Source organism: Homo sapiens, chromosome 1 (assembly GCF_000001405.40).
Source record: "Homo sapiens chromosome 1, GRCh38.p14 Primary Assembly".
NCBI classification, from domain to species: Eukaryota; Metazoa; Chordata; class Mammalia; order Primates; family Hominidae; genus Homo; species Homo sapiens.
Window position 1 is genome coordinate 167,802,887 of NC_000001.11, and position 25,533 is coordinate 167,828,419.

The window sequence follows — 25,533 nt, forward strand, 5'->3', positions numbered from 1 at the left end:
ATTACCTGCGGTCAGGAGTTGGAGACCAGCCTGGCCAACACGGTGAAACACTGTCTCTACTAAAAATACAAAAATTAACTGGGCGTGGTGGCACACGCCTGTAATCCCAGCTACTCAGGAGGCTAAGGCAGGAGAATCATTTGAACCTGGGATGCAGAGGTTGTGGTGAGCCGAGATCACACCATTGCACTCCAGCCTGGGCAAAAAGAGCGAAACTCCATCTCAAAAAGAAAAGAAAATATTATTTAATGAACTTATTAATTTACACTTTCTGAAGACTTACTGTTTGTGCAGGCACACTGGTCTTAGTGCGAGAAATAGAGAATGAGAACAATACCTTTACCCTTGAGTTGACAGGCATGGGGGTTGTGACAGAAATAAATATTTTAAAAAGATCATCACTTTTTCATTCCTGTTCCTGAAGCCTTCGTGGATTATTTATGTCTGCCTTCTCCTAAAAATAATTCTATCCAGGATGCCCCGAGGATGTCATGCTGGAAGCTTCCTGTAGGTAACGAGGGGCGCCGCAGTGGTGCTAAGTGCTGAGGCTGCAGGTCTGAAGACAAAAGCCTCCAGAGCGTGACCAGGAATGGTTCGTTTGGCTGCAGCCACAGTAAGGAGCCAGTGCTGCCACCTGCTGGCCAAGAGCAGGTTCGCCCACACCCATTCTGTTGTTAGGAGGCTGAATCACAGCCAGATGGAGGAGGGAAGGGATTTTATCACAACTCGCTTAGTTTAGAGATGAGGAAACTGATGAAAAAGGGACTTGCCCAAGGTCACGTAACTGGTTTGTGGCATAGTCAGAACCGGAACCAAGTACAGGGTTCCTGCAAAACCTGATGCACGCTCCTCTGGATTCAGGCACATGGAACTTAACCTTCAAATTGCAGTATGGTCTTTTCTCGCTTTTTCCTTTCTCTCTTCCCTCCCCCCTTTCCCTCCCCTCCTCTCCTTTCTCCTCCCCCTCCCTCCTCTCTCCTTCCTTCCCCCTCCCCCCATCCCTCCCCTCTCCTCCCCTTCCCATCTCTCCTCCCCTCTCCTCTTTTTTTTTTTTTTTGAAACCAGTTCTCATCACTGCACTTCCAGGACAGGGGAAGCACTGGGGAATGAGGCATCCTAGCTCTGTGGAGGGAAAGGGAGCTGGTCAACATATGCTTTAGGTATTTGTGGGTTTGTTTTTAATTAATAAACTTTATTTATAGAGCAGTTTTAGACTCATAGCAAAATTGAATGAAAGGTAGAGAATTCCCATATAGCCCCTGATCCTACATACTCACAACCTCACCTGCTAACAGCATTCCCCACTACAGCAGTTCATGTGATACAATTGATGAACCCACACTGACACGGCATTTTGACCCAAAGTCCATAGTTTACATTAAGAGTCACTCTGCTGTTACACATTCTATGGGTTTGAACAGATGTATAATGATGTGAATCCTCCTTCAGAGTAATGTACAGAATAGTTTCATTGCCCTAAAACTCCCCTAGGTTCCTCCTGTTCATCTCTCCTCCTCCCACCCCACTGGCAACCACTGTCTCCATAGTTTTGCCTTTTCCAGAAGGTCACATAGTTGGAACCATAGAGCATGTGGCCTTTTCAGACTGGCTTTCACTCAGTAATGTGCATTTAAGGTTCTTCTCTGTTTTTTTCATGGCTTGATAGCTAATTTCTTTTTAGTGCTGAATAACATTCCATTGTCTAGATTTACCACAGTTTATCCATTCACTTACTGAGGGACATCTTGGTGGCTTCCACGTTTGGGTAATTATACAGTTGCTATAAATGTCCATGTGCAGGGTTTTGTATGGATATGAGTTTTCAGTTCATTTGGGTACATGCCAAAAAGCACAATTGCTGAATTGTATGGTAAGAATATGTCTGGTTTTGTAAGAAACTATAAACTGTCTTCCAAAATGGCTGTACAACTTCACATTCCCTCCAGCAACGAGTGAGAGTTCCCGTCACTCCACGCCCTTGCCAGCATTTGGTGTCTTAGATTTTGGCCATTCTCGTAGGTGTGTGGTATGCTTTAGTTTTTTAGTAATTTGGGAGATGAACTATTAGTTTCAGAAATCCTCACACTCATTAGCACTATCTACCCATAGAATCAAAATCACAGGGAAGCCTGGTGGTGTTGACTTACAGAAAACATGAATACTTGCCTGCAGTTCACAAAGGGCACAGGGGTGAGACTCATGCTTTTGGCAGCTGTTGGGCAGCTGAGTATAAACCAGACTAAGGTGGTTGGGGCAGAACCCCAGAGTACTGTCCCCTGAGCCTATGTTCAAGCAATGCAGAGTGGCAACCAGAGGATGCTAAACTCGAAGGAGATGACTTGACTTTATCATGATCACTGCCTGCAGTTACCACCAGGAAGGCCTAACACAGGGTGCAGGATATTTAAAGAGAAGGAACGAGTATAACCCAATAAGGAAGGCATAGGCTAGAGATAAAGGCCACCATCCAGAGAGAGTGCCCAAAGGCCTACCTTCCTTTGCCCATCAGCATTTAGACATATGTTTTAGTTTACTTCTCTCTCACTGGCTAAAAGCAGACCACAGTCGGTTTCTTTGTTTCCTGTCTGTACCGTCTGTTCTCTTTAAAGTAAAAAAAAACAAACTGTCTAAATACAGGATGGGGAGAACTTGTTAGAATACATGTGACAGTATTAAAGGCTAATGCTTATGGATCTCCTTCTGTATACTAGGCAGCAGGTTTTTTTAAGTTAAAAAAATTGTTTTTTTGGTTTTTGTTTTTGTTTTTTTTTTAGTATTTATTGATCGTTCTTGGGTGTTTCTTGGAGAGGGGGATGTGGCAGGGTCATAGGATAATAGTGGAGAGAAGGTCAGCAGATAAACACGTGAACAAAGGTCTCTGGTTTTCCTAGGCAGAGGTCCCTGCGGCCTTCCACAGTGTTTGTGTCCCTGGGTACTTGAGATTAGGGAGTGGTGATGACTCTTAAGGAGCATGCTGCCTTCAAGCATCTGTTTAACAAAGCACATCTTGCACCGCCCTTAATCCATTTAACCCTGAGTTGACACAGCACATGTTTCAGAGAGCACGGGGTTGGGGGTAAGGTTATAGATTAACAGCATCCCAAGGCAGAAGAATTTTTCTTAGTACAGAACAAAATGGAGTCTCCTATGTCTACTTCTTTCTACACAGACACAATAACAATCTGATCTCTCTTTCTTTTCCCCACATTTCCCCCTTTTCTATTCGACAAAACCACCATCGTCATCATGGCCCGTTCTCGATGGTCGTTGTCTCTTCGGAGCTGTTGGGTACACGTGCAGAAAGGCTGTCACTTCACACTTGGAAGATTGCACAGCGGCCAGGCAGAGGCGCTCCTCACTTCCCAGACGAGGCGGCTGGGCAGAGGTGCTCCTCACTTCCCAGACAGGGTGGTGGCCGGGCAGAGGCGCTCCCCACTTCCCAGACGGGGCAGCCGGGCAGAGGCGCTCCTCACTTCCCAGACAGGGTGGCGGCCGGGCAGAGGCGCTCCCCACTTCCCAGACGGGGCAGCCGGGCAGAAGCGCTCCTCACTTCCCAGACAGGGTGGCGGCCGGGCAGAGGCGCTCCTCACCTCCCAGACGGGGCTGCTGGGCAGAGGCGCTCCTCACTTCCCAGATGGGATGGCCAGGCAGTGGGGCTCCTCACATCCCAGACGATGGGCGGCCATGCAGAGATGCTCCTCACTTCCTAGACGGGGTGGCGGCCAGGCAGAGGCTATAATCTTAGCACTTTGGGAGGCCAAGGCAGGCGGCTGGGAGGTGGAGGTTGTAGTGAGCCGAGATCATGCCACTGCACTCCAGCCTGGGCAACATTGAGCATTGAGTGAGCGAGACTCTGTCTGCAATCCCAGCACCTCAGGAGGCCAAGGCAGGCAGATCACTCCAGGTCAGGAGCTGGAGACCAGCCCGGTCAACATGGCAAAACCCCATCTCCACCAAAAATACAAAAACCAGTCAGGCATGGCAGCGCGTGCCTGCAACCCCAGGCACTCAGCAGGCCTAGGCAGAAGAATCACGGGAGCCCGAGGCGGGGAGGTTGCAGCGAGCTGAGATCACGGCAGTACAGTCCAGCCTTGGCAACAGAGGGAGACCGAAGAAAGAAGGGAGAGGGAGAGGGGGAGAGGGGGAGAGGGGGAGGGAGAAGGAGACGGAGAGGGAGAGGGAAAAATTGTTTTTTGAGATGGTCTGACTCTTGTCTGTTGCCCAGGCTGGAGTGCACTGGCATGATCTCTGATCACTGCAACCTCCGTCTCCCAGGTTCAAGCAATCCTCCCACCTCCACCTCCCAAGTAGCTGGGACTATAGGCGCTTGCCACCACACCCAGTTAACTTTTGCATTTTTTTTTTTTTTGGTCGAGACAGGGTTTAGTCGTGTTGCCCAGCCTGGCCTTGAACTCCTGAGCTCAAGCAATCCACCTGCCTCAGCCTCCCAAAGTGCTGAAATTATTGTTGTGAGCCACTGCGCCCAGCCCTAGGCAGTGTTTTTCATGTAATTCTCAAAAAAAAGAACCCCACACAACTCCATGCAGTATGTACAACTATTATTTCCACTTACAGATGAGGAAACTAAGGCACAGAGAGTAAGTAGCCAACTTGGGATTATCTTCCAGATAATTGGAATATGTCCACAGTGACTCCAAAACTGGCTTCCAAAAAAGTGAAGGCGCATAAGTGGTTTTAATAGGACTCTTCTAGGTAGAACAAAAGAAGTAAGAGTCCTCTCCTATTCCAGATTGGCCAATCTATAGCTCATATATAAGAGAAATGGAGATAAATTTGAATATATTCGGAGACAAGTGATCAGGATACTGAGGGAACCGAAAACAAGGAGCTGGTAGGAGAAGCAGAAGCAACCGGAGATATTTAGCTTGTAGAAGGCTCAAGAGAACCATGAGAGGTGTGTTCAAGAGTTTGAAGGGGTCAGTGAGGAACAAGTTTAAATTTATTCTGTATGATTCCAAAGAGTAGAACTAGGTCCATTTTTTGGAAGCTAAAGGGAACTTGAATCTTTAGATGGTCAAAGCGATTTTTAAGACAGAAAACACTGTTTCCTGATGGTTTGCACAGACAGAGAGCCAGAAAAAGTGGACTTGAATATGCTTCGACAAGGGCACACAATTTCTGGACTTAGGCTCCAGTTCAGCCACTTACTGGCCAGATGATCTCAGGCAAGCCAAAGCATCTGCCATTCTCACCATTCAGGGTTTACAGGGAGAAGATAAGAGCAGGTCCCAGAACTCTCTGTATCTATAAAGAGTTGTACAAATGTAAGGAATTGTTATGATTAAGGCATTAGCTTATTATGACAATGCAGTCGAAATGAATCAGAGGCTGTTCCGCTGAGTCTTCAAGATGTCCAGGTTTTGTATGTGTCACTCCTTCCACCATGAAGGATTTGAACACAGCTCTATTATATTACAGTAGAATGGGCTCAGTGAGGTTTACACGTGCATCTGTTTTTTCTATTGGACATGTGAGCTTGCTGAGGTCAAGAATTGTGCCCTTCATGTTTTTATATCTTAACCTCCAGTACTTAGTCAGGGATTAGTATACAGTAATGAGTTGGAAAATTGTAGTGGGGTGAATAAGTGAGAGAATGAATAAAGTACAAAATAAGGCAACTAGAAAGCAAGGGATTTCTATATTGCAGCATGGGGCAAGCATGCAGCTTCCAGGATGACAGTTTTGAAGGGGACAATACTTAATTGAAGTTTAGTATTTGATGTGTTTATTTTAAAATCAGTCATCTAATATTAGTTTGTTTTTATTTGTATGGCACATTGTAATTTTCAACACTTTTTAACTTTCACTATCTTATTCAGTATTCACAAATGTACACTAACATAGTGAAGTTATGTGGATCAGGCAGGGTGTATGTATCAGACAGGAATAAAGTGTGCTTATGGCAGAGCTCATGTTAGAACCTAATGTTCTGATTTCTTAGCTTGGAGCTCTTCCCTCCATGCCAGGCCATCAGGCCTCTGTGGTTAACCTCGTGGTATCATCTGGGTCTGTCCAACCTCGTTTGTGGAACTCAGTTATGTGATCAGGAGAAAAAATGCACAGCCTTGCTTTTGCATCTGGGAAATGATGAAGAATGAATGTTATTTCTTAAATATAAAAAAACATGTAAACTCTAAATATGTAAAAGATACCCGTGTAAAAATTATTAATATTTTAATTTTTAAAACTTGATCTTTATTTTATATTAAACATATTTATCTGATATTAAAATTTTATTTGATATTTGATGCATGTGGTTAGAGGGGCTAAGACATCACCCTGGCTTTGGAAGCTGCAGTCAGGCCCTACAAACATGTATCTTTTCTAATTCTGTCTTTGTAGACCATGACAAATGTTTGCTATTTGTAATATTGTGCTACCTCCAAAAGACTTAACAATTGGACATTTAAAAATAAGTATTTTCAGTTAACATACTAACTAGAAACATGTCTTTTGCAACACACGATGTCATACCATCTTGAGATTAATAATTTGTAATATGATACAGTTTTGCATGGGCTGAAATAAACAGGTCAAGCTAAAACAACATGAATGGTAAAAGCAATTTTTTGTAACATTAGGAAGAAGTAAACCATGACACTCCTGACCCTTGTAGGCCCTCCAGAAAGAGAAGAAATCAACATGTCTGTTTCTGTGTCTGGAACAGAAGAGATTATGTAGGAACCTGGAGTGGGCCAGCCACGGAGAAAGGTCAATAATAGATAATCACAAGGACATAGTGCTTATTAAAATCTTTTTTCTTTGACATGTTAGAAATGATTGTCCACGGTATTAGCTCTCATCAGGAATTTGTTTTTTTGAAGATCCTGAATGTTTACCCTGCCTGCTACAATTTTTTCCCATGATGGGAGACTCAAGATCGTCTGAAGCCATTGGTCTTCTTTTAACTCAGAGGTTGAGTACCATGATTCCTGAGAGGAAAGAAACAGAACAAAGAAATCATTAGTGCTTCTTGACTTTTGTAATCAAGGTTAGTCCAATATCAAACAAGGCAAAACATCTTTGGTAAAAACCATGTGAACCCATAGACAAAAACGAATCTTGCTGTCCAAACTAGGATACTGACACAGCCCTCTTTAAATACACACATATACTCATACATTCATTCACTTATTCAACAAAACTGAGTATAGGGCTCTGTGCTAGGCACTAAGTGTGGTTTTTGCTTTCAAAGAGTTCACATTCTCAAGGAGAGGAAAGACACGCAGACAGATGTAACACAAAGTGGAAAGTGGCCACAAAGAAGGGCAGAGAGAGGGCATGCTAAGGGGGATTTGGATGAGGGAGAGAGACCATGAGAACTTAAAGGGGAAGAGGAAGCTCACAATCCTGAACTATGGACATGTCACCCTTTCTGGTAAGAATCCAGAAAGGCCTATGGTGACTGCTATGGTCTGAATGTTGGCATCTCCTGAAATTCATATGTTGAAAATTAACCCCCAAGGTAATGGTATTAAGAGTTGGGCCTTTGGAAGGTAATTAGGTCATGAGGGCTCTGCCCTCATAAAAGGGCTGGAGGGAGCAAATTTTCTTTTTCCATCCTTTTGACATGTGAGGACACAGCAAAAGGCACCATCTGTGAGGAACGGACCCTCACCAGACAGCGAATCTCCAGAGCCTTGATCTTGGACTTCCAGCTTCCAAAACTGAGCAGTAGGTTTCTATTGTTCATCAATGACCCAGTCTAAGATATTTTGTTAATGGCAGCCTGGTGAAACCTAACCAGGCAGTAGGCTTCTGGGCTTCTTTATATGGGTGAGCATCGCCACCCCGGTTTGCTAGCTGATGATACATACTTTGTTCATGTTCAGCCAGCATTTCTCCAGTATATTCCCCTGTGTTTCAGAGAGCCGCAAGGCTGTGTTCAGGAAGAGGCCACATTTCTGCCCATCTCCCATTAATATACAGACGTAAGCCATCAGGTGGTAGAGCCTTGGGCAAAAGACAGGGCCAGTGGTATTTTGAGCCACCAGATTCTCCAAGTTCTAAAGAAAAAAAACCCACAACAGTATATTAGAATTAAACAGGGGTCCTTGACTGTAAGTTATTTCCTTCACAGATGATTTGGGAACATTTCAAGGATTTAAGCAATCAAGTGAGAAAATACATTATAGAGACATACACAGTAGGTATTGGAGATAAGACAATAAATGTCAGGCAGAGTAGCCACCATGGTCCACTGAGATCAGGAATTGACCTGAGAGATCCCATCATTACTTCTCTGCAATAACTTTTTTTAAAAAATTATTTTGATTATTATGATTATTAAGGCAGTACAAGTTAATTGTTGAAAAATTAGGAAAAAAAATTGGCCATTTCTGCATGTAAGGAGCTTGGAAATAACCACTTGGTCCTAGAAACAAGTAAAAAGCTGAACAGGCTGGGCGCAGTGGCTCATGCCTATAATCCCAGCACTTTGGGAGGCCGAGGTGGGTGGATCACAAGGTCAAGAGATCAAGACCATCCTGGCCAACATGGTGAAACTCCGTCTCTACTAAAAATACAAAAATTAGCCAGGCATGGTCGTGCACGCCTGTAGTCCCAGCTACTCAGGAGGCTGAGGCAGGAGAATCGCTTGAACCAGGGAGGCAGAGGTTGCAGTGAGCCGAGATCGTGCCACTGCACTCCAGCCTTGTGACAGAGTGAGACTCCATCTCAAAAATAAATAAATAAATAAAGCTGAACAGACTGGAAGATCAACAACTATTCTTGGATCCATAAGAGAAGTGAGAACACAGGGCAAACTGCTGCCCCTAAGACTGGAGAGACAAACAGATGGAGACTCACAAGTGGAAACCACTGTGGGAACCAGTGCCAGGCTAGAAAAACCTGAACTGTAATTGATGAATTGCTAGAAACTCAGACTGGACCGGTCTGGGAGTTAAAAACTCTAGGGAGAAGAGGATTCTGGAGAGACGGCAGAGTAGGAAGTACCAACTATCTGTAGCCCCACCTAGACTATCATTACACTGGCAGAATCTGTCAGAATGTAACTATTTTAGAACTCTGGAGTCTACTGAAGGCTTGTAAATACCAGAGGAAGGCTTGGATGGTAAACTGAGGTTAATTTCAGTTTCAGCTCTTAGCACAGCTGCCTGTCCCCCAGCCTCAAAACCTGTGGCAGACAGTTGTTGTGCACATGCTCCTGAAGAACCTGCGTACAACTTGTGGGAACAAGGGTGGGCAAAAAGGACCCTGTCTGAGATATCAGGGATCTGTGCTCTGATCACCAATTGCTGCTTCTGATGGAAGAGGTAGGCAGTCATTGTTGCACCTCTCCCCGTCATTGCAAGCCCCTCCCACTCCAGTTGAAGTGACTTCCAGTGGATTTAAAGGGCTATTGCCCTTTCCTCCCCCAACTTTATTTTTTTCTCCACCCACCCTCCACCACCTTGACAGCCAGACATTAAATACTAGGACATTCAAAAGCAACTGCCTATAAAAGGAAAATTAGAAAGTGACTGTGCATGCCTAGGGAAAGGCACAGGCTCAGAAAAGATCTGGGAAGACCTTAAGTTTGCACCTCAGGCTGATCCTTGGCATAGAGACAGCCTACAACAATAAAAAACAAAAACAACAACAAAACCCAGAAAACCCTGGGGAAGAGGGAGAATTTGATATCCAGAGCTGTGATATTATTAGATTCAAAGGTCTAGTTTCCAATAATAACAACAAAAAGGCATACCAAGAAACAGGAAAGCATGGCTCATCCCAAGGGGGAAAAAATATCAAGAGAAACTGTCCCTGAAAAAGACCTAATGGCAGATATCCTACACAAAGATTTTTAAACAACTCTAAAGATAATCAAAGAACTAAAGGAAAATGTGGATAAAGTCAAGTAATTGATGTATGAAAATAATGGAAATAACAGTAAAGTGACAGAAAACCTAAAAATATACCAAAAAGAAATTCTGGAGGTGAAAACTGCAATAACTAAAATTTAAAAAAATCACTAGAGGGATTCAAAGGCAGAATTAAACAGGGAGCAGACTTGAAGATAAGACAATGGAAATTATTGAGTCTGATGAACAGAAAGAAAAAAGATTGAAGAAAAGTTAACAGAGCCTAAGGGACTTGTGGAACACCAAGAAGTGAACCAATAAATGCATTGTGGAAGTCCCTGAAGAAGAAGAGAGAGAGAAAGGACTAGAAAGAATATTTGAAGAAATAATGGTTAAAAACTTTCCAAATTTGATAAAAGACATGAATATAAACATCCAAGAAGCTCAACAAACTCCAAGTAAGATAAACTTAAAGAGATACACACTGAGACAAATATAATCACTTTTGAAAAGTGAAAGACACAAAACTTGAAAGCAGTGAGAGAAGCAACTAATCACATACAAGACATCTTCAATAAGATCATGAGCAGATTTCTCATCTGAAAATTTAGAGGTCAGAAGGCAGTGGGCCAATACATTCAAAATATTAAAAAAACAAAAAAAAACCCGTCAACCAAGAGTCTTCTATTCAGCAAAAGCGTCCTTCGAAGATAAGGGAGAAATTAAGACATTCCCAGACAATCAAAAACAAAGTTAATTACCACCAGGACTTTCTTCCAAAAAATGCCCACGCCTTAAAAAAAAGAAAGAAAAGAAAAGAAAGAAAGACAAGAAATACCTAAAGGAGCCCTGTAGGGTAAAATGAAAGGACAGTCAAAGCTCTAAGAAGAAATAAAGATCTCAACAAAGGTAAATACATGGACAATTAAGTGTTATTGTAATAACAGTTTGTAACTTGTTTTGTTTTCTACGTTTTTAAGAGATTAATACGTTTTTAAAATTTAGTAGCCCAAAAGCTAGTAGTATTGTAACTTTGGGTTGTAACTCCACAGTTTGTTTTCTACATAATTGAAGAGACTGATCATTTAAAATAATTATTCATTTATGTTTTGGGGCATATAATGTACAAAAATGTAATTCTGTGACATCAACAACTGAAAGGGGTGGGAAGCTATTAAAGGAGTGGAGTTCTTTGTGCATTACTGAAGTTAACTTTAGGATGCTAAATGTAATCCTCATGGTAACCATAAGGAAAATAGCTATAGAATATATACAAAAGAAAATGGGGAAAGAACTTAAATGTTCCACTATGAAAAATTAAATGCAAAATAAGACACTAGTTCAGGAAATGAGGAATGAAAAAGCTGTAAGGCATATTGAAAACAAATAGCAAAATGATACACACAAGTCCCTCTTTATCAGTAATTACTTTAAATTGAATTAAACTCTCAACAAAAAAACAAGTTGGCAGAATGGATTTTTTAAAAACATGATCTAATTACATACTAAAAGAGACTCACTTTAGATCCAAAGACACAAATAAATGGAAAGTGAAGATAGAAAAAGATACTTTATACAAATAGTAACCCAAAGAGAATAAAGGTGGCTATACTAATGTCAGACAAAATAAACTTTAAATCAGAAAGAAACTTACAAGAGGCAAAGAATAATATATTAATAAAAATTTAAATACAGCAAAATATATATAACAATTATAAACATTTGTTTTATAATTATATTTTTAAAATAAAAATATAACAATTATAAACATTTATGCATCCAATAAGATCGTCAATATATATGAAGCAAAAACTGACAAAATTAAAGGTAGAAATAGACAGTTCTATAATAGTAGTTGGAGACTTCACTAACAGTCAATAATGGATAGAACAATTATACAAAAGATAAGACACAGAGGACTTAGACAACACAATAAACCAACTAAATATAACAAACATACACTTAATGGGTATAGAGTTGTTGTTTGACAAGATGAAGAGAGTTATGGAGATGGAGGGCAGACATGGATACACAACATTAGAAATGTATTTCATACCACTGAACTGCATACTTAAACATGATTAAAATGTTAAGTTTTATGCTATGTGTATTTGGATCACAATAAAAAAAAATTAGGCCACACGTGGGCTCATGCCTGTAATCCCAGCACTTTGGGAGGCCGAGGTGGTCGGATCACCTGAGGTCAGGAGTTCAGGACCAGCCTGGCCAACATGGTGAAACCCCATCTCTACAAAAATACAAAAATTAGCCAGGCATGATGGCGGGTGCCTGTAATCCCAGCTACTCGGGAGGCTGAGGCACGAGAATCACTTGAACCTAGGAGACGGAGGTTGCAGTGAGCCGAGATCACGCCATTGCACTCCAGCCTGGGCGACAGAGTGAGACTCTGTCTCCAACAACAACAACAACAAAAATTAGACAAAAAAAAACCCCAAACACCTTCAGGTGAGCCCCCACAGTTTTGTGTGTTTTACCTCCAGAAGCTCAACCAGGATCTCTCAGTAAATATTGGAGGAAAAAAAATCTCTCATTCTTTCAGCAGAGGAAGAGGAAAAGGAACCATTTTGAAATATGCCAGAGTACTCCGTTTTTCTAAACAAGGTGTGCCCTCAGGAGAAACTATGTAACCAGAGCCTAACCTCCAGGGGTTTTACTAGAGTCTAACTGATCTTGGGGAAGAGGAATACCCAACTAAACCCAGTTCTAGCCATTATGTCCCACCTAAGGAAGAGGGGACTGAAAAGCACTTGTGAAGTTCTTAGTCCAGAGGAATAGGCTCACTAAAAGACTGAGACCTAATCATAGGACTGTAGAATGCTTTCCCTCTCCTCACACCTTACCATCACATTACTAAAGACTTATTTAGACAAAGTCTTTTTACCTGATACATCATATCTGGCTATCAAGAAAAATTACAAGGCATACTAAAAGGCAAAAACATAGTTTGAAAACACAAGTCAGAAGCAGACATGACAGGGATGTTGAAATTATCAGACTGGGAATTTAAAATAACTATGATTAATATGCTAAAAGCTCTAATGAATAAAGTAGAGAGCATGTAAGAGCAATATAAGCAGAGAGATGGAAATCCTAAGAACAAAAAATAAATGCTAGAGATCAAAAACACTGTGAGAGAAATGAAGAATGCCTTTGACAGGCTTATTAGTAGACAGGACCCCGCTGAGGAAAGAATCTCTGAGTTCAAGAGCATATCAATAGAAACCTACAAAACTGACAAGCTAAGAGAGCAAAGACTAGAAAAGAAAAACCATAACAGAATATCCAAGGATTGTGGGATAAGTACAAAAGGTATACTAGATGCATAATAGAAATATCAGAAGGAGAAGAAAGAGGAAAGTAACATCAGAAATACTTGAAGCAAGAAAGACTGAAATGTTTTCCAAATTAAGGTCAAACACCAAACCACAGATCCAGGAAGCTCGCAGAACACCATGTAGGATATATGCCCCAAAACCCCAACACATAGGCATATAATTTGTAAACTACAGAAAATCAAAGATAAAAAATTTTAGGTCAGGCACGGTGGTTCACACCTGTAATCCCAGCACTTTGGGAGGCAGAGGTGGGCAGGTCACTTGAGGTCAGGAGTTCAAGACCAGACTGGCCAACATGGTGAAACCCTGTCTTTACTAAAAATACAAAAATTAGTCAGGCATGTTGGCGGGCACCTGTAATCCCAGCTACTCAGGAGTCTGTGGCAGGAGAATTGCTTGAACCCAGGAGGTGGAGGTTGCAGTGAGTCAAGATCACGCCACTGCACTCCAGCCTGGGTGACAGAGTGAGACTCCATTTCAAAAAAAAGAGAAAAACAAAAAGTTTTAAAGAAGCCCAAGGGACTTCTATAAAGGAACAACAACAAAAAAAGAATTGCCTTTCACTTTTCCTCAGAAACCATGCAAGCAAGAAGACAGTGCCATGACCTGTTGACAGGAAAAAAATCCCTAGAATTCTTTACCCAGTGAAATTATCCTTCAAAATTGAAGACAAAATAAAGACTTCTCAAACTAAAATTGAAGGAAGTTGTTGCTAATAGCTCTGACTTGCAAGAAATGTTAAAGAAATTCTTTAGAGAGAAGGAAAATATGTAGTTCAGAAACTTAGATCTACATAAAGAAAGAAAGCATTGAAGAAGGAGTAAGTGGAGGTAAAATAAAAATTTTCCTTTTCTTATTCTAAAAGATGACAGTTTGTTCAAAATAACAGCAACAATGTGTTCAATTATTCAATTATGTCTACTTATGTAAATACATCTCCTAAGCAGAGATCCCAGACCAGACCACCCAGGCTTTGGACCCGCCAAACTGTGAGTTAAGAAGTGGTGTTGTTTTGGCCTTGGCATGGTGGCTTACACCTGTAATCCCAGCACTTTGGAAGGCTGAGGTGGGTGGATCACTTGAGGTCAAGAGTTCAAGACCAGCCTGGCTAATGTGGTGAAATCCCCATCTCTACTAAAAATACAAAAATTAGCCAGGCATGGTGGCACGTGCCTGTAATCCCAGCTACTTGGGAGGCTGAGGTACGAGAATTGTTTGAACCCGGGAGGCGGAGGTTGCAGTGAGTCGAGATTGCGCCACTGCACTCCAGCCTGGGTGACAAAGGGAGGCTCTGTTAAGAAGTGGGTGTTGTTTTAAGCTGTTTACTTTGTGGTAATGAGTGACAGAGCAATAGAAAACTAGTACACCTGTGCTCAGTGTTTACAAGAACAAGGCAAACGTGTCAACCCAACACCAGAGATTTAGCCCTTTATTCTCTTGGGGGCTTGCCCATGCCAGGTTGTAAACTCTTGGAGGTGTTTAATTTGCTCACTCTTGCGCCCCAGCACTCTTGTATTAATATGCTTAATACATATTTGAATTTTTTAAATTGTCGTGTGGAATGATTTGTCTACCAGGATGCTTTATCACAGCAATAGCAATAAAATCATACAGAAAAGTTCTATCCAATAATAATTAGGCCATACAATCATATATCTGTAAGATAAAGTACCATGCTTCCTTTTAAATCGTGATGTGAAAAACAATTTAATGACAGGAAATTATTCATAATATATTTAATAGCAAATTACAAAATAGAGAAATGTGCATGCACACACACAGAAAAATACTTGAAAAGTGGGATCTCAATATACAAAAAGTACTTATCTCTGAGTAGTAAGGTTATGGGCAATTTATATTTTCTTTCTTACTTTGGGGAAGTGCCTTCAAAAACTTCTATTATAAAAATATATGAATTCTATAATGAGAAAATAATTAGCACAGGAAGTAGACAGAGATCCATTTAAGGCATATTTTATACTGGAAACTGGAGAATAGGCCTCACCTTGAGTAGCTCCTCCCCACTGGCTTGGGCATTCTCTGACTGTTCTTTGATTTGTTTTTGAAGGTGAAGAACTTGCCCCTCCATGTACCTAGATATTCCGTCATAGTAAGTAAGTGTCATGGTTCTTCTTGGCAAAAGATTTTTAGCTCTATTGGAAAATTTGTAAAAGTTGTCCCATTCCTGAAGTCTGGCATACCTGCATTACCACAAGAGAATAAGAAAAATCAGTATCACCCATTAGGAATAGGCTGGCTTTCTGAAATGTCTCTCTGGATGTGCAGCTTCCTTTACCTGGGTCTCTGGAAGTGTGTAGTCTCCTGCCTACCCCTGCTTCACACTCCCTAAAAAAGCAGGAAATTATGTGATACAGAGCAAGGAAATAATAAATTTTTTTGATGACTTGAGATGAATAGAATCCTTGGAAACACTCAGGTAATATTAGCCACCATTGAACTCTTTGGCTTTGGCTTTTTTTCTTTTTTTGAGACGAAGTCTTGCTCTTGTCCCCCAGTCTGGAGTGCAATGGCACAATCTTGGCTTACTGCAACCTCTGCCTCCTGGGTTCAAGTGATTCTCCTGCCTCAGCCTCCCGAGTAGCTGGGACTACAGGTGTGTACCACCACGCCCAGCTAATTTTTTGTATTTTAAGTAGATACGGGGTTTCACCATGTTGGCTAGGCTGGTCTCGAACTCCTGACCTCAGGTGATCCACCCGCCTTGGCCTCCCAAAGTGCTGGGATTACAGGCTGTGCCACCATGCCCGGCCACTTTGGCTTTTTAAATTAAAAAGTGAGGGAGATCAGACACTTGGAGCTGTGGATTCTGGGGCTTGAAGAAATTGTTCCAATACCAAAGAGAGATGATTTAGGCCAGTACTGCTCAAAATGTAGTCCACAGACTGGCATCATCAGTATCACCTGGATTCTCATTAATGCAGGTTCTCTGGTTCAGTCCAGGTCTACTGAATCAGACAGGCTCTGGGGGTGTGGCATCTCTGAGTTAACAAGCTCTCCAGGTGATTTTTTTTTTAACCCTTCAAAGTAATTAAAAATAAGACATTTATTCCAACAATTCTTACATTGCATGAAATACCTCTTTAATATTCTACCTGCATTTGGAACTACCTTCAGAGTATATGGTACAATCCTTTGAATATTTTCTGTGTAGAAAATCCGATTTTTTTTTTTTTTTTTTTTTAGATGGAGTTTCACCCTTGTTGACCAGGCTGGAGTACAATGGCACGATCTCAGCCCACTGCAACCTCTGCTTCCCTGGTTGAAGCAATTCTCCTGCCTCGCTGGGATTACAGGCGCCTGCCATCACGCCTGCCTAATTTTTTATATTTTTAGTAGAGACACGGTTTCACCATATTGGCCAGGCTGGTCTCGAACTCCTGACCTCAGGTGATCCACCCACCTCAGCCTCCCAAAGTGCTGCGATTACAGGCGTGAGCCACTGCTCCTGGCCTGCTTATGATTTTTTTATTTTTTATTTTTTTTTATTTTTTGAGACCCAAGTTTTGCTCTTGTTGCCCAGGCTGGAGTGCAATGGCGCGATCTTGGCTCACCGCAACCTTCGCCTCCTGGGTTCAAACAATTCTCCTGCCTCAGCCTCCCAGGTAGCTGGGTTTACAGGCATGCGCCACCATGCCTGGCTAATTTTTTTGTATTTTTAGTAGAGATGGGGTTTCTCCATGTTGGTCAGGCTGGTCTTGAACTCCCGACCTCAGGTGATCTGCCGGCCTCGGCCTCCCAAAGTGCTGGGATTACAGGTGTCAGCCACCGCGCCCGGCATGATTTTCTAATAGCCAAATATTTAAAGCCAAATCGGATCAACAGTAGGCAAAACATCTTCTCCAGGCCATCAACTTCATCTTCATCTGTGCTGTATTCTTCCATTGTTTTGCCACTAACAAAGTGGATGACTCTCCTTGGGACTTTCTTCTTTTTTCCTATGACTCCCAGTTCTACGTTTCAAAGCCTCTTTCGTTACTCATCCTTGAGATAAAATTTGGCTATGGTTGTCCTGACATCAACGTTTCCTTTTGGACCATGACTCAGCTTTTTGGATCCCTTAATTTCCTGCCCCGCAGATTCCCCGAATGCCGCGGCGGCCGCAGCTCCCGAGGCTGCGACGGCTTCTCCTCGTTCCACAGGGCCCACTGGGTCCTGGTCCATCGTCGTCGCCACCACAGGGCTGCTGGCGCCGCAGCGCCGGCCGCCTAGCCAAGTCTCTGGGAAGGGGACTAGCCGGCCTTGAGGGGCGGGGCCGGCCAGAGGGGCGGGGCCAGCCCGCGCCTCGCCTAGCCCGCCTGGCTCAGCACCCCGAGAGCTGGCCGACTGCCCTCCAGGTGATTTTTATGCCCACTAAAGTCTGAGCAGCATTGGCCTAGGACACAGCTGTTTAAAAAATTCTCCTGCTGAGATAGACAAGAAAAATAAATTTGGATGATTTCTGGACTTTAGATTCCTTAACCTTTAACTCACATTGGTAAGTTATTTGATTTTGAACTTTAATTGGCAAGAGTAATCAATTTTTGGATTTTAATTTCTCCTCATTAATTTTAATAATAAGAGGGGATTTCTTGCCAGGTGCAGTGGCTCATGCCTGTAATCCCAGCATTTGGGAAGGCTGAGGTAGACGGGACCTGAGCCCAGGAGTTGGAGACCAGCCTGGGCAACATCACGACATCCCATCTCTACAAAAGATTAAAATTAGCCAGGCGTGGTGGTATGTGCCTGCAACTCCAGCTACTCAGGAAGCTGAGGTGTTTGGGAGGATCACTTGAGCCTGGGAAGGCGAGGCTGCAGTGATCCGCGATCGCACCACGGGACTCCAACCTGGGTGACACAGCAAGACTGTCTCAGAAAGAAGGAAGGGGTGGATTTCTATTCCAATTTGGAGCTGTTCTAACTTGTAGCATTTTATATAGGAATGTCTTCATATTGTCATTTAGTCTCATCACAAACCTCTGATAGACCATACGGTTGCATATAATTAAGATAGGAAATAAAATAATAGGGGGCGATTTTCAGTCTTGGGGATAGTCATGGAAATAATTTAATGAATGTTCTGTTCTGACCCATTTTAGAACCTTAGCATTCATCTCCTTCCTTAAGGGTATGACCATAATAGCTACATGCTTAACTGAGTTAAAAACGTAGTAGGTTAAAGGAATTGAGCCTTAGGCTTAATGAGTTAATGGGGTGCGGGGAGAATGCTGCTTCCTCACTCCTGAAATTTCCTTCCATGTAAGGGGCCTCTATTTGGTGCAAAGCACCAGAACTCTTTCCCCGCTTTACTTGCCCTTTCAATGATAAGGAGAGATCTTGCTGGTGATTTGGGAGATGAATTGGGCAAGTATAACTCAGTCCGTGTCTCTCTCTATCTTGAGAGCCAGTGAAGCCAACAGGGAGTGTGATACTGATCTCTCTGCTACAAGAGGCCTGCCTCCATGTGAGTAGACCTACAGTTTTCCAGAACTGCCTGCTGCTGAATGGGTTAAGTCTAATTCCAGTGCTCAATATTACGAAGCCCGCTTTCGTGAAGATATAAGCCATGTCTTCCAACATTGGCTTTGTCAATCCATGTGATTAGATATGGGCAGGTGCCGGGTGGGCAAGTGGTGCTATTCATTAGTCTTCCTCAAACCCCAGCACCCCTCTGAAGAAAGCAATCTTTTCTTATTTATCCCTGTATCACCACAACATGATATGTTTGCGATAAATGTTTATTGCATGGATGTAATTGAGATAAATTTACTTTTCTGTCCTTGGCCAAGGGGGATGAACTAGTTGATCCCTAACATGTCTCTCTGTGTAAATATCCTCTGACACCCTTAAGCTGTCTCAGGTATAAATTATGAATACTTTCTAAAAGATTTTTCAAGAACTCTTCCTTGGGATTCAACATTTTCACTTTGGGAATTTAGTGATATGCCACACATTGTTACCAGATAGCTACAGAGGAATAAAGTCCCAGGAGGAGTCCACTGTGGAACTTGAGGATTCTGTTGTTTTCGTATTGGTGTATGAATTCCAAACATTCTTCAAATGTTCTATAAACAAAACCTAAGAGAGAGAGGAATGGGTGAGAGTTATTAGTAGGTGTGGGTGATCATCTTTCTAGCCTAGTCACTCTCAGTTGAATTTCCCACTGCAGGGAGAGTTGCCTCTGATTATTGTATGAATCCAGAGGGTCCCGTGGATTGCAACAACCTCATGACTGGATTGCCCTGTGTTTGCTGAGTCCTACCTATTGGGGAGTGTTATGGATATATACTACAGTTCCACAGTACCGACCAGGCAGGTGTGGGGTTTAAACTAATCCTTCCTGGCCTTAGTGCAGCCTAGGACTTCTCTGTCTCTCCACACATGCTTCCTTTGTTGATGGCAATGTCTGCATCCCCTTTCAAGATCACATGTGGGGAAAACAATTCAGGTTGGTTCCTGTGGTTTAGTGTGTACACTTCAAGTGACCTACTTGGTGTCACTTGAAGGTTATCAGGAAGTAACTTATTTTCCAAATCACCAATAGCTACCAGCCTGGAACTCTCACCTCAAGCAATCTAGTCCTTCATTCTAAAGCGTGAAGTCTCTAAGTACATCCTGCTAAAAGTTAAAAACCCCTGGTAAAAGGCACATAGTAAGACAGTCAGCCACTATCACTTAGGTGCAAATTGATCTGACAGTTTAACTGGCAGCTCATATCCATCAGGTTCCTTCAGACTTAATTCTCCTTCTTGCCGTGCCTTTACAATCTCGGCACCTGCTAGACAGTGCTTCAGCTCACACAACCAGCCTCTCTCCATCCCTGCCCTGTAAGTCCACCAGCCAGAAACCTAGTGGTCCCAAAGCCCCAACCTGAGAGCTGCCACACCACACCAGCACAGGTATCAACACCCCCAAGTTCTTTTACATCCCAAACCCACACTTACCAGAATAAAGCAGGATGTCCAAGCAGACAAAATAGAAAAATGCCTTGCTGAAGATGTGTTCCTGTGTTACAGAAAGCTCCCACAGCCGCCCCAGCACCTGGATCAATTGCGGGTATCTATGGAAAAGAAAAGGTAGTGGCCATTAAAAAGTGGTGGATATTGTAATCCCAGCACTTTGGGAGGCTGAGGTGGGTGGATCACGAGGTCAGGAGTTCGAGACCAGCCTGGCCAACATGGTGAAACCCCATCTCCACTAAAAATACAAAAATTAGCTGGGCATGGTGGCGGGCGCCTGTAATCCCAGCTACTTGGGAGGCTGAGGCAGGAGAATCGCTTGAAACCAGAAGGCGGAGGTTGTGGTGAGCCAATAACGCACCACTGCACTCCAGCCTGGGCAAAAGAGCGAAACTCCATCTCAAAAAAAAAAAAAAAAAAAAGCAGTGGATATAATGGACTTTGGGGCCTCGGAGGGGAGGGGAGGAGGGAAGTGAGGAATAAAAGACTACATGTTGGGTATGTGTACACTGCTCGGGTGACAGGTGCACTAAAATCTCAGAATTCACCTCTATAAAATTCATCTATGTGACCGAAAACCATTTATACCCCCAAAGCTATTGAATAAAAAAAGCAGTGGATAGGATGAGGTTCAGTAAAGTCCCTTCCTGGTCTAGTCTTGGTCCTTCTCAGTAATTCGGAACCAAATATACCTCTTAAACAGATTTCAAACACACCCCTATCCAGGACTAAAACCTCAATCTCAAATTGGCTCTTTTTTCAAATTGTTCTTTCCTGGGTCCTCTATATCAGGGTGACCAGAGTCAGAGCAAATTGGCCTTGACCTCTAGTCCTGGTTGCTATTCTCTGGCCATTTGCCTCCCTGGAAGACTTTTCCCTTTGTCTCCACCTGACAGAAGTGGAGGCCTGATTCCCACAGCTGGGATGACTGTCTGACTACCCTCTGATCACTGGCCAGAGCAACCAGATTAGAGATGATGCAAGGCAAAGAATTCTGTTTAAAATAAAAAAGACAAGGCCTGGCGCAGTGGCTCATGCCTGTAATCCCAACACTTTGGGAGGCTGAGGTGGGTGGGTCACTTGAGGTCAGGAGTTCAAGACCAGCCTGGCCAACAGGGTGAAACCCCCTCTCTTCTAAAAAATACAAAAATTAGCTGGGTGTGGTGGCACGTTGCCTGTAATCCCAGCTACGTGGGAGGTTGAGGCAGGAGAATTGTCTAAACCCGGAAGGCAGAGGTTGCAGTGAGCCAAGATTGCACTACTGCACTCCAGCCTGGGAGACAGAGCAAGACTCTGTCTGAAAAAAGAAAAAAGGGTGACTACTATCAGTTACATTTTCTTACTGCAAACTCTACTCCCTTCCCCACCCTAGGACTAGGCTAAAGTTGAACCCAGAATACTCAATAATACGGCCTCCTCCCCCTAATTTTGGAAAATGCTTTAAGATAAATACCTGCTGTTCAGAAGGAGACATCTGCTAAGTCTGCAGAGGGACTGATAATGTCGGTTGGGATTCTGGAGCAGTGCCCACATCTGAAGGGCTCGGGAGCCTGGGAAGAAAACAATTCCAGTATATTGTGGGGCATTCCTTGTATCCTCATGTCCCATCTTGCCCAGCCAGCCCTTACCTAACTCAATGGCCAAATCCAGGTGTCCCATTATGAGCTTGTTGAAGACCAGTGTCTCAGCCACGTATGCCACGATTTCAATGCCCTCGCCTTTCAGGGGGAGGTTGAAGATGTGCTCCATGGCCATGACTTCATATTTGAACCACACACCTTTGTAGCCAGCCAGGTGGTGGTATAGCGAATAGTCTAGGTAAGCCTTAATGATCTGAAATGGCAGAGTGGAGGAAGAGTGAGGCAGAACGCAAAGCAGAAAGCTCAGGAACATCACTCAATGTCTGCCAGTAAATGTTTGTTTATTAAGTTTGGGAATAGAGCTGGACATTTGGCCGAAGCCATGGGCTTAGAAATAGAAATCAAATTGGGTTTCTGCTACCTGTTTACTGAGTCATTCAGGATAAGCTTGATGGCCCCTTGCCCATGTAGTCCTTAAATGAAATATAAAAATTTTAATTTCTGTGAAAAATAAAAGCAATAGCTTACATATTAGATGTATAATTGCAGAGCAAAAAGGCTGCAAGGATACACTCCAAAGTGTAAACAGTAGTTATATATTTGTTGGGGGTGGGAGGAGAGATTTTACTTTATGCACCTCTGTGATGTTTGTTATAACAAGCATGTATAATTTTTGTAATTTAACAAAAAAGAAAGAAAGGTTGGTTTTGTTTGTTTGGCTTTTTTTTTTTTTTTAAATAAGGACTAGTTTTAAACCTAATTTGGAGGTCAGGTGCAGTGGCTCACATCTATAATCCCAGCACTTCTGGAGGCCGAGGCAGGAGGATTGCTTGAGCTCAGGAGTTCCAGATGAGCCTGGGCACAATAGTGAGACCCTGTTTCAACAACAACAAAAACTAGCCAGGCATGGTGGCATATGCCTGTAGTCCTACCTACTCAGGAGGCTGAGACGAGAGGTCACTTGAGCACAGGAGTTTGAGCCCAGCCTGGGCAATATAGTGAGACCTGATCTCTACAAAAGATTTTAAAAAAAAGTAGCCAGCATGATGACACAAGCCTGTAATCCTAGCTACTCAGGAAGCTGAGGTGTTTGGGAGGATCACTTGAGCAGGGGAGGTTGAGGCTGCAGTGAGCCATGATCACGCCACTGCACTCCAGCCTGGGTGACTGAGTGAGACCCTTCTCAAAAACGAACAAACAAATAAATCTAATTTGCAGATTTAAGAGAAACTGGTTACTCTAAACAACTCTTTAAAAAGATAAAGTTGCTTCAGAGTATACATGCTTAGAGAATAGTGAGGAGAAAAGGGTTCCTTCTAAAGAAGCAGTTTTATTATATATACAAAAACAAAATAATACATGTAAACTACTTTGAAAAATACAAACAGGAAAAATAAAGTATCTCTAGTGGTGGGAGTATTGGGGTCGGGGAAGTGTTTTAGAGTAGAGGCTTTTTTCTTGGAATTCCTCAGATGGGACAAAATAAGCAGCCTACAAATTCTGTGTTATAGGCAGGTCCCTGGATACTTAAACCACATCAGTCTTAGAGAATTCCTTTCTTTCTGGTTTGGAACATGTTCCAGATAATGCTACCAGAAGGTAAGGATAGCCAGAAATGGTGGTGGGGGAAGAGAGAAGTGTTGGGCACGAGAAATCCAAGGCTGTAATAAAGCCTAGGACCTCTTGGATTTGGACCAAGAGAATGGAGGTCCAACTGCTTCACTTTACAGAGAAAATATAAAGCTCCTTGTTTATGCGGCTTTTCAGTGGTCACACTGCAGATAGGCGGAGTCCTGGAAACCACCCTCTGGCTCTCAGTCTGGTTCTTTCCATTCTCCCATGCTGAGTCCCTCACCTGCCTTTGAGCACTGAGGGGAGCGCTTCTTTGCTTTCAATCCCAGCCACCTTGATGACAAATGTCTTGGTTCACATTCTATCCTGACTTTTTATTTTCCCCACCCCAACTCTACCACAATTCTTAGGATATAGCTCCAAGTGTGGAGAAGTATTTCAGTCCATATAAATTTCTTGAGCAACTGCAAATGTTCTAGAAACTTAGGATGTGAACAAGACAGCTGAAGAGGTCCTTGCTTCCAAGGGATTTACACACTGGTAAGGGAGAGAGACCAAGAACCAATGCAGGAGCAAACAAGAAATTGTCAAATGGTAATAATACCTATTAAAACAGAGTGACAAGTTAGAAAGTGAATGGGTGGCCATGACCAGTTCCCTCCAAGCAGAGGAAACATCCAGTGACAGATGGGATTAAACTTCTGTGTTTGAGGAACCAAAAGAGGACCAATATGGCTGGGCTTGTGGCTACTTCATGGCCTACAGAGCTAGAAGAGGATGGGAAATAGGCAGGGGTCAATCTTGATGGGCTTTATAAATACTTCTGTATTCTAGGAGAGCCAGCCTAAATTCACCAAAAGGAACTAATGTAGAGGACAGACTCCAGGTTAGGAATCTAAGCTCCTCCAACAGTAGCTCCTTGGTGCTACTTGACCCCTTCCCTTAATTCTTGACAACTAATGACTCCAGGAGGAAGAAACCCAGACTTAATGTACTTTTTTTTTTTTTCCTGAGATGGAGTCTTGCTCTGTCGCCCAGGCTGGAGTGCAGTGGAGTGATCTCTGCTCACTGCAAGCTCCACCTCCTGGGTTCACACCATTCTCCTGCCTCAGCCTCCCGAGTAGCTGGGACTACAGGCGCCCGCCACCACGCCCGGCTAATTTTTTTTTTTTTTTTTGTATTTTCAGTAGAGACAGGGTTTCACCGTGGTCTTGATCTCCTTACCTTGTGATCCGCCCACCTCGGCCTCCCAAAGTGCTAGGATTACAGGCATAAGCCACCATGCCCGGCCTGCTGATTTAATGTACTTTTATAAAGGAGCAAGGTCACTCTCATTAGATGAGTTTGATTTAGCTTAATAATTTCTTGATCATGTCTCCTGATATCTTCTTCATCCAGTCAAAGGCTTCTTTGGTTATGACCTAGACTAGTGGTTCTCCCAATTCATCCTGGGAGCCCTAGGGATCCGTGGCACCTTTTCAGAGACCACATGAGGTCAAAGCTAGTTCCATAATATCTAGGCATTTTAAATTTAAAAAAAAAAAATTTTTTTTTTTGAGTTGGAGTCTCGCTCTTGTCATCCAGGCTGGAGTGCAATGGTGTGATCTCATCTCACTGCAACCTCTGCCTCCTGGGTTCAAGCAATTCTCCTGCCTCGGCCTCCTGAGTAGCTGGGATTACAGGCACCCACCACCACACTCAGCTAATTTTTGTATTTTTAGTAAAGATAGGTTTTCCCCATGTTGGCCAGGCTAGTCTCGAACTCCTGACCTCACGTGATCCGCCCACCTCAGCCTCCCAAAGTGCTGGGATTACAGGCGTGAGCCACCATGCCCCGCTAATATCCAGGCATTATTTGTGACAGGAAAAATAGTGAAAGACCTTAAAATGGGCAAAAACACAACTTAGTGGGGATCCTATCTAGCTTACTAATCAAAGTTATCTCTATTTTTCTTTGGACTATCTTACAACTATGTTGCAGAAAACTGATATTAATATAAGTGATATGATTTGTTTTTCATAGAAATGTAAATATTCAGTGGAATACAAGTGATTATTATGCTGTTACTAGACAAGTTTTGTATCCATTGGTAAACAGATTCTCCTTGGAACCACTTGGTTCCAATCTTACTAATTTTGATTGAGTCAACTCAGTGAGTTAAATAAAATCTTTGATGTGTACTTTCCATATTTGTTATCAGTTATAATTCTATCTTTTTAAAAAAGAATTATCCTTTAACATTTT

General features: G+C 42.8%; 1 protein-coding gene across 9 annotated transcripts in view, besides 1 other annotated feature; it reads right to left on the reverse strand.

Moving 5' to 3' along the window:
• The window catches only part of ADCY10 (adenylate cyclase 10), a 104,749-nt gene continuing 85,715 nt past the window's right edge, over positions 6,500–25,533 (reverse strand). For 6 of the 9 annotated variants that reach the window (NM_001167749.3, XM_011509762.4, XM_011509763.4 and 3 more), the window contains 7 exons: positions 21,765–21,969; positions 21,590–21,686; positions 20,122–20,237; positions 19,138–19,255; positions 15,186–15,381; positions 7,839–8,027; positions 6,500–6,953 (listed from right to left, as the gene is read on the reverse strand). In NM_001167749.3, the coding sequence (NP_001161221.1) occupies positions 6,792–6,953; positions 7,839–8,027; positions 15,186–15,381; positions 19,138–19,255; positions 20,122–20,237; positions 21,590–21,686; positions 21,765–21,969 (1,083 nt within the window). In that variant the 3' untranslated portion in view covers positions 6,500–6,791. Of the gene's footprint in view, positions 6,954–7,838; positions 8,028–15,185; positions 15,382–15,476; positions 15,527–19,137; positions 19,256–20,121; positions 20,238–21,589; positions 21,687–21,764; positions 21,970–25,533 lie in introns of those variants that run through there. The other 3 variants (XM_006711449.5, XM_047425153.1, XM_005245330.6) reach the window with 3 other exon arrangements.
• Positions 17,398–17,547: a silencer, noted in NCBI's record as "silent region_1538". NCBI's record gives its function as "represses an Ori minimal core promoter by ATAC-STARR-seq in GM12878 lymphoblastoid cells {active_cell/tissue: GM12878}" and the evidence as "EXISTENCE:reporter gene assay evidence [ECO:0000049][PMID:35858748]".